Source organism: Homo sapiens, chromosome 13 (genome assembly GCF_000001405.40).
Source record: "Homo sapiens chromosome 13, GRCh38.p14 Primary Assembly".
In the NCBI taxonomy this organism is placed as follows: Eukaryota; Metazoa; Chordata; class Mammalia; order Primates; family Hominidae; genus Homo; species Homo sapiens.
In genome coordinates this window covers 59,975,893-59,990,031 of record NC_000013.11, presented here as the reverse complement: position 1 = coordinate 59,990,031, position 14,139 = coordinate 59,975,893, and the positions used below count along the sequence as shown (strand labels likewise).

General features: G+C 33.9%; 1 protein-coding gene across 19 annotated transcripts in view; it reads left to right on the top strand.

The window, feature by feature from the left end:
• The window catches only part of DIAPH3 (diaphanous related formin 3), a 498,346-nt gene that overhangs the window by 173,897 nt on the left and 310,310 nt on the right, over positions 1–14,139 (top strand). For all 19 annotated transcript variants that reach the window (XR_002957478.1, XR_002957480.1, XR_941672.1 and 16 more), the window contains 2 exons: positions 6,145–6,263; positions 9,173–9,237. Coding sequence is in view for 14 of the 19 variants with exons in the window: in NM_001258368.2 (NP_001245297.1) it covers positions 6,145–6,263; positions 9,173–9,237 (184 nt within the window). In the remaining 5 variants the exon portion in view is untranslated. The remainder of the gene's footprint in view (positions 1–6,144; positions 6,264–9,172; positions 9,238–14,139) is intronic.

Sequence of the window (14,139 nt, the reverse complement as noted above, 5' to 3'; positions counted from 1 at the left end):
ACCATGCTGTTTATGATACTATATTTCTACTCCAAATTTACTTAAAAATGACATTGAAACTTCTATTTACTCTAAAGTAAACTCCATACATTTTTTGATCTGTGTGTGGTCAGTCCTGTCGTCTTCTGGAAGTTTGATGCTGTTTGAGTACCCAAGAATTTAAGACTGTTGTTTGTTTTCAATGGTTTGAACATGCCTGTAGTCCTGCAGGGGTTTTATCATACTTATGACTTTGATCCCTTCATCTGTGCCCCAAGAGAGCATGTGGTTGTATCTAGCTTCAAAACAGATTAAAAAACACAACTGTTTTGGGTTATGTTCAGGTGATACTATCATTTGAGTTAAATCAAGAGTCTTGGAGAAAGATTAAATTGTGGCATTACCAAAATGACATTAAGGCATAGAAATTTAGATATTTGGCCATCTTTTGAGTATGAACTTTTACATTTGATGTTCACCTATGTTAATTCCTTCTTTGGCTCTTTAAACCCCGGGTATCTTGATTCCAGATATGGTTGCCACAAAGGCAGTGTTCTTCCTGTGACTGCTAGACTCAAGACAACTCCATCAGTTTTTTCCTCATGTTTCCAAACTCTCCTATTTATTATTGTTGTTGTTAATATTTCTTTAAAAAAATTTCTTAAAAAAATTCTTAAAAATATTTCTTAAAATATGCTTTTATTCCAAGATTGTGTCAGAATTGTGATAATTTACATATATTTTTGTCATGCATTTATTTTTTAAAATTTTATTTATTTACATACAGTAAAACTTACTCTTGTTGGTGTACACGTCTATGAGTGTTGTTTTTTTGGTTTTTACCTTCATTTTTTGGTTTCATCTACCTCAGAAGGACCTCTATTTTACCTTTTCAGCAATCTTAGATAACCTGTAACATTTTTTGTTTAATGAGCTCTTTAAACTACTTTTGATACGAACACACATAATTTTTCTTTTTCTTTTTACAAACAGTAGATTGTTCTATTGCAGAATGTTAAATGTTCTCATTTGAAAGAATTGGTGGATGGAAAAATTAGAATCTTTTTTCATTTCCACTTTTGGGACAAAAGAAAGTTTGACAGAAATGGAATTCGATTGGAGAATATATGTCAAAGGCAGCCCCTTTTCCCTGGGAAAAAGGGAGGGGGCTGAAATACAGCAAGATAATTGGGTGGAGAAGATCAAATTCAGTTTTACACCAAATAATTAAGGCTTACCATGTGTAAAATACCACGCTAGTTAAATGCGCATGGGAGATAATTTCTGATATTTGTTAACAATACCACAGAGAAAAGTGAAGATTTCAAAAACTCCTCCAACAAAAATAGCATTTTGTCAGTAATGACAACTTAATGTTCATCCCTTAATTAAGTTATTCACATATTCCTCAGACACATTTACTACCTCACCAATATTGCTCATGGAGATTATTTTCTAGATTGACATTTCTGGAATCCAGAAATGTTGTGTATTATTCTTTGATAGTATTGCCTCCCCAGTGAGTTTTTGCATGAAATTTCAGCCACATTATAGATGAACTCATAATTGGACATTGTGGAGTTGAGGAAAAACTTACTAAAATTATGATTTCTTAAAAAGATGACATGAAATAGCTTGTGTTGTTAATTTAAAACATTTTCATTTTAAAAACATTAGAATAATGTTGAGTAGAAAAGAAATACATCATCTAGATTTTTAAATGTAATAGATGTAAATGTGTTTAAATGTATGTACCACGTGTAAATGTGGTTATTATGGCAGAAATATTTGGGGATGGGAGATAATGTCTTGAAAGAACTTGAACAAATAGAGGCAAGCATAGATTAACACTTTTGATTTGTACCCAGGAACCGTTTCTTAAACATTTTCACTCTATGACAGTTAATGATCATTAGTCATCTTTGCTAGTGTTAAGCTGTAGTGGATTTTCTTCACTGTAATAGATGGTTTATTAGGTGTAAGGTAAGTAGGTCAAGAGCAGTGGGTCATAGTTTATGGAAAGGAAAGTCTAAATGGCTTGAGGGACCCACACTTTAGAATTTAGAGAGGAAAAGTATGTTAAAAGTCATTAAGGAAAGAAGTTCTAGGGGATGATCTGAGATGGAGGACTGTGCTTCATTAGAATAGTACCCAACCTGTTTATCACTTTAGTTTGGTTTTGCTTATAAAATCTTTTATCTGTTTTATTTACATTTATTAAATCTTTTTTTTTTTGTCCCTTTCTGAGACATCTTTCTTGTTCCAGTTTTCTCTTTAATCCTCTGTACTAATGATGAGTGACATCATTTTTCATATTACCGGCTTTCCAAAGTGAACTAATATTTGGCATAACCAAAAAGGTACAATATCTAAAAGCACTAGGATATTTTAAAACCAGTCTTCTCAAGAAGAGATGATTATGCTTTACAAGAGGAAATATTTCTACCATTAGCCTTATTTCACTAACAAGTTTCTGGCCAAAAAGAAAGCAATAAATACCTACTCATGCTCAACTAATCTCAAATAACTTTTTTTTTTTTTGGTTTGGTCTTTTTTTTTTTTCTTTTTTTTTTTTTTATTATACTTTAAGTTTTAGGGTACATGTGCACATTGTGCAGGTTAGTTACATATGTATACATGTGCCATGCTGGTGCGCTGCACCCACTAACTCGTCATCTAGCCTTAGGTATATCTCCAAATGCTATCCCTCCCCACTCCCCCCACCCCACCACAGTCCCCAGAGTGTGATATTCCCCTTCATGTGTCCATGTGATCTCATTGTTCAGTTCCCACCTATGAGTGAGAATATGCGGTGTTTGGTTTTTCGTTCTTGCGATAGTTTACTGAGAATGATGATTTCCAATTTCATCCATGTCCCTACAAAGGACTTGAACTCATCATTTTTTATGGCTGCATAGTATTCCATGGTGTATATGTGCCACATTTTCTTAATCCAGTCTATCATTGTTGGACATTTGGGTTGGTTCCAAGTCTTTGCTATCGTGAATAATGCCGCAATAAACATACACGTGCATGTGTCTTTATAGCAGCATGATTTATAGTCATTTGGGTATATACCCAGTAATGGGATGGCTGGGTCAAATGGTATTTCTAGTTCTAGATCCCTGAGGAATCGCCACACTGACTTCCACAATGGTTGAACTAGTTTATAGTCCCACCAACAGTGTAAAAGTGTTCCTATTTCTCCACATCCTCTCCAACACCTGTTGTTTCCTGACTTTTTAATGATTGCCATTCTAACTGGTGTGAGATGATATCTCATAGTGGTTTTGATTTGCATTTCTCTGATGGCCAGTGATGATGAGCATTTTTTCATGTGTTTTTTGGCTGCATAAATATCTTCTTTTGAGAAGTGTCTGTTCATGTCCTTCACCCACTTTTTGATGGGGTTGTTTGTTTTTTTCTTGTAAATTTGTTTGAGTTCATTGTAGATTCTGGATATTAGCCATTTGTCAGATGAGTAGGTTGCGAAAATTTTCTCCCATGTTGTAGGTTGCCTGTTCACTCTGATGGTAGTTTCTTTTGCTGTGCAGAAGCTCTTTAGTTTAATTAGATCCCATTTGTCAATTTTGGCTTTTGTTGCCATTGCTTTTGGTGTTTTGGACATGAAGTCCTTGCCCATGCCTATGTCCTGAATGGTAATGCCTAGGTTTTCTTCTAGGGTTTTTATGGTTTTAGGTCTAACGTTTAAATCTTTAATCCATCTTGAATTGATTTTTGTATAAGGTGTAAGGAAGGGATCCAGTTTCAGCTTTCTCCATATGGCTAGCCAGTTTTCCCAGCACCATTTATTAAATAGGGAATCCTTTCCCCATTGCTTGTTTTTCTCAGGTTTGTCAAAGATCAGATAGTTGTAGGTATGCGGCGTTATTTCTGAGGGCTCTGTTCTGTTCCATTGATCTATATCTCTGTTTTGGTACCAGTACCATGCTGTTTTGGTTACTGTAGCCTTGTAGTATAGTTTGAAGTCAGGTAGTGTGATGCCTCCAGCTTTGTTCTTTTGGCTTAGGATTGACTTGGCGATGCGGGCTCTTTTTTGGTTCCATATGAACTTTAAAGTAGTTTTTTCCAATTCTGTGAAGAAAGTCATTGGTAGCTTGATGGGGATGGCATTGAATCTGTAAATTACCTTGGGCAGTATGGCCATTTTCACGATATTGATTCTTCCTACCCATGAGCATGGAATGTTCTTCCAGTTGTTTGTATCCTCTTTTATTTCCTTGAGCAGTGGTTTGTAGTTCTCCTTGAAGAGGTCCTTCACATCCCTTGTAAGTTGGATTCCTAGGTATTTTATTCTTTTTGAAGCAATTGTGAATGGGAGTTCACTCATGATTTGGCTCTCTGTTTGTCTGTTGCTGGTGTATAAGAATGCTTGTGATTTTTGTACATTGATTTTGTATCCTGAGACTTTGCTGAAGTTGCTTATCAGCTTAAGGAGATTTTGGGCTGAGACGATGGGGTTTTCTAGATAAACAATCATGTCGTCTGCACACAGGGACAATTTGACTTCCTCTTTTCCTAATTGAATACCCTTTATTTCCTTCTCCTGCCTGATTGCCCTGGCCAGAACTTCCAATACTATGTTGAATAGGAGCGGTGAGAGAGGGCATCCCTGTCTTGTGCCAGTTTTCAAAGGGAATGCTTCCAGTTTTTGCCCATTCAGTATGATATTGGCTGTGGGTTTGTCATAGATAGCTCTTATTATTTTGAAATACGTCCCATCAATACCTAATTTATTGAGAGTTTTTAGCATGAAGGGTTGTTGAATTTTGTCAAAGGCTTTTTCTGCATCTATTGAGATAATCATGTGGTTTTTGTCTTTGGCTCTGTTTATATGCTGGATTACATTTATTGATTTGCGTATATTGAGCCAGCCTTGCATCCCAGGGATGAAGCCCACTTGATCATGGTGGATAAGCTTTTTGATGTGCTGCTGGATTCGGTTTGCCAGTATTTTATTGAGGAGTTTTGCATCAATGTTCATCAAGGATATTGGTCTAAAATTCTCTTTTTTGGTTGTGTCTCTGCCCGGCTTTGGTATCAGAATGATGCTGGCCTCATAAAATGAGTTAGGGAGGGTTCCCTCTTTTTCTATTGATTGGAATAGTTTCAGAAGGAATGGTACCAGTTCCTCCTTGTACCTCTGGTAGAATTCGGCTGTGAATCCATCTGGTCCTGGACTCTTTTTGGTTGGTAAACTATTGATTATTGCCCCAATTTCAGCTCCTGTTATTGGTCTATTCAGAGATTGAACTTCTTCCTGGTTTAGTCTTGGGAGAGTGTATGTGTCGAGGAATGTATCCATTTCTTCTAGATTTTCTAGTTTATTTGCGTAGAGGTGTTTGTAGTATTCTCTGATGGTAGTTTGTATTTCTGTGGGATCAGTGGTGATATCCCCTTTATCATTTTTTATTGTGTCTATTTGATTCTTCTCTCTTTTTTTCTTTATTAGTCTTGCTAGCGATCTATCAATTTTGTTGATCCTTTCAAAATCTTAAGGGATGTTTCACCTATGACCAGTGTAGATGGACTAGACTTAACTGTAATGACAACATGAAATCTACTTGGAGGTTTTAGTTAAACTTCGATTTTTGGACAAATATTATTATACTGAATTTTTCTATTTCCCTTTGAGTAAGAAATATGAATTTGATATTATATATAACTTACAGTACCAGTTTTAAATTTGATTTCACAAACACTTGGAAAACAGTATACCACATACTCCCATAAAACTTTTTAGAGAAAATTTTTGTTTATTTTGGTTGTATTAATGAAGTGAATTAATGATAGCTATTTCAGTGTGGTACAGTGGAAAGTTGATGACCTCTGAGCACAAATTTTAAGCACTTATCACTTCACTTTCAGCTAATTTACTTAATTCAAGGTTTTGACTTTTATAAGAAAATTAAGGGATACTGTATTTCCTAAAAGACTATAAAAATGATGTTTTGAATTCATTAAAAGCAAAGTGATGACAATTGTATTTACTCTCACTCCCAGGTAAAATCTGTTGTGTCAACTATTGAAATTATATTACTAATAAATTGTTGAACTTGAAATCAATCTTAGCCAAAAAGTTTTGTTTTGATGTAAAGTTACACTAATTATCAATTGTACATTTACTCTTTTCTTTGGTTTTAGGCAACAATACTTCAAATTAATTGATGAGTGTGTATCCCAGATTGTATTGCATAGAGATGGAATGGATCCAGACTTCACATATCGAAAAAGACTAGATTTAGATTTAACCCAGTTTGTAGGTGAGTATTTATTATTTAAATAGAAATATCTTATTGTCTCTTATTCTATGAATGAGCTCTAGGGCATTGGTTCTCGGGTTGTGTCTCTGGACTCCTGAGGGCCCTAATTGTCAAAACTGTTTTCATAATAGCACAAAAACATTATTCGCCTTTTTTATTGGGTTGGTATTTTGCACTGGTGGTGCAGAACAATGGTGAGTAAAACTCCTGGCACTTTGTTATGAATCAAGGCAGTGGCACTAAACTGTGGGAGTAGTCATTATCATCTTTACTGTCAATAAAACAACAAAAACTGCCATTTTTTACTTAAGAATGCCTTTGATAAGGTCCTAAAAATGTTAACTTTATTAAAGCCTGACCCTTGTATACACACTGTTTTAATATTCTGTGTTAACAAATGGGATTTATACATACAGTACTTCTGCTGCATATGACCAGTGCCTGATGTTACAAATTCTCCATAGGCAAAGATCTATTAAAAGAGTTCAATAAGAAAATATTTGTGTAATTGAGTTGCAAGCAGAATTGCCTGTCCCCCCCGAAGCCTTTTTTTTTTTTTTTTTAAACTTGGAATGACTCATACAGACGATGGCTTCTATAACTTGAGAGTTTTTTTTTTTTTTTTTTTTAAAGATAAAGCATTATTATTTAGTGTTGTAACATTTGAGTTTTTATTAAAGTTTTCGTCAGGCACTTGCTTTCTTAAAAATGAAATAAAGTGAGCCTATAACTTCAAAGAAAATGGCCGATAAATAGGCTGCCAATGAGAAAATTTGAGTTTTTAAGTGGAAATTTGAATTTTGGAAAACTTGTATCTGCTGCTTTTAGGCTGACAGGTTCTCAATACTAAAATTATTTCCTGATGTCACTGGTGTTATTAACCTATCTGATTATTCATTGTGATATTGTATAAAGACCTGTTAACGTTCGGAACATTTGCATGACTCAGCACACCATTCTTTCCATATGACCAGTGCCTGATATTACAAATTCTGCATAGGCAAAAGATCTATTAAAAGTGCAACATTTATCAAGAGATTTTAGGGTAACAGAGTACAAGTTAATTGATATGATATGTGATTCCACATTGTAACTACTGTTTAAGAAGTCACCATTTGTCAGATTTCGATATAACATCAAAGAAGATTACCCACAATGATTTGAAAAGGCTATTAAAATACACCTCTCATTTTCAGCTATGTATCTGTGCAGGGTTATGTTTCTTTTCGTATATTATCTGAGTCCTGGGAGAAGAATGAAATATAATTAGTGAAGAACTAGATAATATTAATGAAAATGCTTGTTTCTCTCTATAAGAGATAAGCAATTAGAAGTTCCTGGGGTGGGGGGAGTGGGAAGAGGAAGCAGAAATTAAGAAAATGGTGCTGTAAATATGCAGCAAACTAAAATGTGGAATGATTTTGAATAGTATCTGAAAAAATGTATTCCACTGGGTCATTTAGGAATGGCAGCTGAGAGGTTTTTTTCACTGAGCTCTTGAGAAGGAAATAAAATATTTGAACACCATTTGGTTGTATAAGTGATGCGTGCTTATGTAGTTTTAATAAATTAATTGTATTTACTGATTTTTAAATATTTAGAATAATCTCATAAGTAAATACAAAAGATTTAAATACAGAAGAGAATGTCATTGTATTTCTATGAATAGGTGAGAGAAGAACCAAAGGTGGGCAATAGGGGAGAAAAGGTATTGGAAAGCATGAGGCACAGATAATTTGACATACTGTGGCAAGAATTTTAAGTTATTCTTAATGTAATGGGAATCAAAATTAAATATTTCATGCTCTGGAGCAATCCAGTTTAGTAAATAAAATATCAAAAATTAGGATTAGAGAACAAATACTGTCTTAATCTTTTATAATAGAAAGTTATCTATAATGTCTTAAATAGATAAATCAAGAAATAATACTTATGTACATTTTATTTACAGTTAAGAAACTAACCACCAAAATAATCTAGTATAGAAATGGTAATAAGAGGTTGCATTTAGGAAGTGTGATTAAGATTTGGATACAGTAACTTTGTTGACTTATTTTTTATTATAAATTCTTCTGTAATATATTTTTATAAACTTTGTTCATGTATCGCTTTCATTTAATAAAAAAGAAGGGATAACATATGGGAAATCCATATGAATTACTTCTACATTGTATTCTATCATGTATATATATCATAACTTATTTAAGCAGTTCATTATTGATGGGCATTTAAGTTATTTTCAGTTTTTTTTTTTTTTGTCTAACATCAAAAAATATTTTAATGAGTTTTCAGGCCTAATGGCCAAGTCTCAGAAATGGAATTGCTAGGTTAAAAGAAAATCCATATTTACAATTTTAGTATATATTGCCTAGTTTTTCATCAGCAAAGTTCTTAGCTTTCACTATTGGTTTCCTCATGTCAACTCCAACACTTGGCATTATCAGTCATTTAATCTTCACATTCATATTGCTAATTTTCATATTGTTAGGGAATAATAAACATTTATTCATCTGTTTTGGTGATTTTTTAGTATCAATTTTTCTAATTTTCTGTTTATTACTGTTGGCTGTTTTTTTTAAGCTTGTTTATAGACATCATCTTTTTTCTTTAAAATATGTACGAGTTGGTGATAGAAACATTTGAGTGTTATTACAATTGAACATCTCCTTTTGCCTGCTAGAAGTTTAAAATTGTTATTGAGTTTGGCTTTTCCTGTGTTTTCTGTTTTCTGGTATCATGCTTAGAAAAGCCTTTTTCATTCCAACATTATAATATTTTTTCCATTTTGTTTATTACTGGTAGTATCAGTATTTAATTATTTTCTATGATCTTTTTTCTTTCTAAACTTTTGAAGTCATAATGAGTTTAAGAAGTTTCACATTAAAAATTTCCTGTCATTGCAATTTTAGACATTTGCATAGATCAAGCAAAACTAGAAGAGTTTGAAGAGAAAGCATCAGAACTTTACAAGAAAGTAAGTAGTTTTCACTAACTTTATAGTATTCTGTGGGGAACCACTGCAGGCATGCTTCTGCCTCAGGGAATTTGCTTGTTATTCGTTCTTTCTTCTTTATCTGCTTCAGGTGTGTGCATAGATGCCCTCCACCAAGGAGGACTACTGTATCTAAAAAGTCTTAACTCCCCACTCCCAACCTTGACCTTCCCTATTCTTCTTTCCTTATTTTTCTTTGAATGTATTTATCATCATCTCACATGCTACATAGTTTATGTATTTATATGTGAATGACTTATCTATTTCACCCTAACAGTAAACTTTGAGGCATTTTGTTTGTTTTATTCACTATCCCTGCACCAGGAACAATTCCTGGCCCTTTGTAAGAACTAAAAAGATCCTTTTTGAATGAGTGGATGATGGAGCAAAATGTATGTAATCAAAATTTTAAGGTTGTGGTAATTCTCAAGAAATGATATTAAGCCCTTAAGAATGAAATCATATATAAAAATTTTAAGAGAAAAGTTAACTTGCTTTTAGTTTTGATTAAAGTTGCTTCATTATATTAAGTTGAACTTTATAAAATTGCCATTTTCATAGGTCATAGCTGTTGGATATTACACAAACAAAACCAGTTTTGTTTCAACTCAGTAGTATTTCTAACCATCCAGCCAATTCCTTACTTTTCTTTAACCCATTTATGCCTGAGATTGCAATTTTTTTGAGTTTTGAAAAATCAGACATTGGCAGTGACCTTAAGCAGTAGGATATAAATAACTTCCACATGCTCAGCGTTCCAATAATGGAACAGTAGGCATAAATTTAAGGTATTGTTTTGTCCTTTTATCTCTGGCTTAGCAAGTACCTATTAGACTTTTAATTTGTTATTCCAATTCTTTGCATTTTAAATAGTCAATCTGATTTGAATTATTCAGGTGGTTTTTCACATTGAAGGAGTGACGATAATTCTTACTACTGTTGTCACCATGATGAACCCACAGCAAACATTTACGAAGTGAATATTTCCTGTGTGTTAGGCATCATGCCAAGGAGTATAGGTTTTTGATGTAGCAGATACTAAATGTATCTTGAGGCAGTTGCACATTTCTATAGCTTTGAAGATAAAACATAACTTACAAATTATAGGCACTGTTTTGTAAGTTAAGAGTAACTTAGGTAAAACATTATAAATGTCCTAAGGGGCCTTAAGGTTCTGACTTTACCAAACGCTAAATGAGAGGTTGTTATTTCCCACGCCTTCGGCTGCAGGTTAGGATTACAGTTGTGAATATAATATTGTTGTTGCTCTGAAGTGACTTAGTTTAGTGGGGGAAACAAATTAATGGATCATTTAAATTTAGTCTCATAGTGTTACAGTGGATAGATGTTCATGTTGTGGGGTGACCCTTCCCCCAGCCAACATTGTATTCTAAGCTGGATAAGCACTTTAACTCTTCATAGGAAAGTAGTAGTAGACTTTCAAGTACTTGATTTGGATACATCCCAGATAGTATAAATTTGATTTTGTTATCATTTTTAGGTATATAGTATATATGAATGGAGTCAAACATGAATGGAGTTAAAGTTTCTCAACAGATTTTTAAACAAATTGTAGGTTTTAAATATATAAATAGAAGAAAGACCTTGTTCAAGGTTACTTGTCTCCTTTTAGTCAGAAATTATATGTGTTAGTTAGATTCAGAAAATACTATTTGCTCCATAAAATATTTCTATTGCCATATCATTTTGTATATATCAGCAAAAACTTTGTTCTGATAGTTTTATAAGGACACATGTAAATACTTTGCTTTAGGCAGGAAGCTATCATGGTTGCTAGACACATTCTTTATTTTGGTGCATAAATTTGAAAAATGAAGACCAGAAATGTCAGAAAGTATATAGAGAATATTGAATTATCAACCTTCTTGTACAGATGCACTAATACATTCACCCTAGAGAATGAAATTAAGCAGAGCCTCAACCTTAACTGTGTCTTTCAACATTTTTTTGCATGTAATTTTGTAAGTGTAATATCGCTCTAGTAACTCTTTTTGGAGAAGGCTATCATATCAGTTTTTATAAGGTGTGCTTTTAATGGAGATTCATTTTTTCCCCAAGGCTACAGTGATTTGACTATAGATATTACAAAAATGCTAAAACAAAGTTTATATTTCAGCTATCTTTTTATAGGCGAGGATGTGGAAACTTATTTTTTCATAAGTAATACAGTTACTTTAGTATTAGCAAGTTAATTTAATAAATGTTCTTAGAATGTACTCATTATGACTGTGGTTGTTTTTATAATTTTTATCTTAAGTCCCGAAATAATTCTTTTTCCTTATGAATTTTAGTCTAGGATTTATGAAATAGATATTTCATAATTCACATATTGATATTGTAGAAAGGCTTTTTCATTCTTACTCTCATAAGAACGTAATTTTTTTTCTTGCTGTGTAACAGTGAACTTTGTCTTAGTTGTCAAAAAGAGAAAATGACCTCTCAAAGATTTCTGATGCTGGGAGAGTGACTATGTTGACATAGTCATTCAACATATAAAGGAAGATTTGACGAGGTTGGCTCATCACTTCGTTCAACAAATATTTATTTGACTTTAATTATAGATGTAAGACACTGGAAAGGTGATGAATAAAATAGAAAAGTTTCTCACATTTATGAGCTTTCAGGTTGGTGAGTGTTATTTTGACAATTTTATATTACAGTGTGCAATTGGTATGGTAGACAAACCCTATGTGGTATGTAAACCTAGAGGAAAGGTCCCTCACCTAGTCATGGGTGGCCAGGGAAGCCTTCTCCAAGGAAGTGATGTCTAATCTGAGCCTTGAGGAATCAGTATGAAGAACAACGCGAGATAGCCAAGAAGGATGCATATCTAAATTTCTTTTGAATTTCCTATACCTATCTCAAGCTGAGCATATCCAAACCAAATTTATCTTTCTTCTCCCTAAAAATATCTTTTCCCCCTGCATTTTATAACCTTATTTATTTTCCCCAAATAACAACACTTTTTTTCTAGCTTGTAAAACAACAAAACCCTGTAGTCATCTTAGATACACTCCTCTCGCTCATTTCCTTCATTCGGTCAGATACTAACATTTTTGGATTCTGTAGTCTTTTTTCATTTCTTTGTCATTACCCTCTCCTCCACCTCAATTCAGGAAGGCCTTCAGTTCTCGCTTGGATAACTACAATAGCCTCCAAACCAATTTCCATGCCTCTAGTATGTCTTTTTCAGCCCATCTTTCACACTGCTGCTGGTTGAGTTTTTGAAAGTAAAAATTTGATTATGTTGTTTACTTATTATACATACCTAATAATGCTCCAGGATTTTTAGGAAAAGAGGATTAACTCTTTGGCTTATTGCAAAATTCCTTTCAGCAGTTTTATTTCTGTGTTCATCTCTGGCTTTATCCCCTTCAGTTTGTTCTCATACCTCTTTTTGTGCCCCTTACAAAGTATTGCTTGTCATTCATCCACACGCTGAAATGCTAGTAAGTTTTTCAGACTTTGAGGTCAAACATCATTCCTCCAGGAATCATTCCCCAGCTTTCAGTCTCTCTCTGTCTCTCTCTTTATTGCTGGTATTTTTAATTGATTTAGGGTTGTTAGTTTGCTTTTACTTCTCCATCAGCCACTGTGCTGACTAAAAGTACACTGACCATATTCTGTTTAACTGTGTCTTCAGAACCTACCACTCTGAGGGGGCATATCTCGGGTGTGTTGTTAAATATTTATTGCGTAATGGGAAATAGGTAGATTAGGGCCAGATCCTACAGGGTTCTTAGATAGTAATGATTATAATGAAGTCACTGATAGTTTAAGAACAAAGAAGTCATGTTAGTTGAGCTGCCCTTTACAAAGAATAGCAACATTCAAAAAACAAATCTTGTAGGGGGAAACATGTTTGGTTTTGAAAATATGTTTTTTCGTCTGTCTTGAAAAGTTTTCATTAAGTGGTTGGAAATATATTCATGGACTGATTTGTAGTCTGGAATTCAGATGAGAAGCTGAGATGTTGATAGGGATTTGTAAGCCATCAGTGTATGCATGGTGATTTAAACATGGCTGTGGAAGATGAGACAAGCAGGAGGAGGGTGAGGAAAGAGTCCTATAGAATGCCATCATTAGTGGGTTGGATTTTGTAGAAACCCATAACAGGAATTGGTAGGAGCACTCAAGGAGTAGCAGGAGAACCAGAAGTGTGTGTTGTAATGGAACATACAGGAAAAGAGGTTGAATATGGAGGCCTATTTGTAGGTATTTATGCTATAGAACTGGCCTGTCTAATATGGGATGGTGGAAATGTTTTATAATCTATATTGTTCTGCATGGTAGTCATCAGCCATATGTGCCCATAGTGTACTTTTTAAAATGGCTGGTGTGACCGAGGAACTGAATTTTTAAACTTTATTTATTTTTGATAATTTAAGTTTACATTTACATAATCATTTGTGGTCAGTGGCTATGATATTGAAATAGCATGGCCCTAGAGAGATCACCTAAGATGAGGCTGAGAGCAGTCCAGGGAATTTGGACTTCTGGAATTGGAATTTGGTAAGTCAGCGTTTTTAGAATGAATTATAGCTAAGTGTGATAGATAATGAAATGAACAGAGTTCAACAGGTCAGAAAAGTGAGTGTGGTTTAAGAATACCCTTTGAAAAAGTTGACTTTTAAGCTAAAGAGGGATTATGGTAAGGGGTTATAAGGAGTAAAATGAGGGATGAAAGTACAGAGAGGTAAACTATGCAAGGGAGGTGTGAAGGCAATTGATTTAGCAAGTCCTTAGGGGGAAGCACTGGGTGACAGGAGAAGGTGGGCGGACCTCTGAGACTCATGCATGGCTTGTTTTGTAGTTAGTAATTTGATTAGATATAGGCTTAGAATCTTTTTAATTATTTAACGG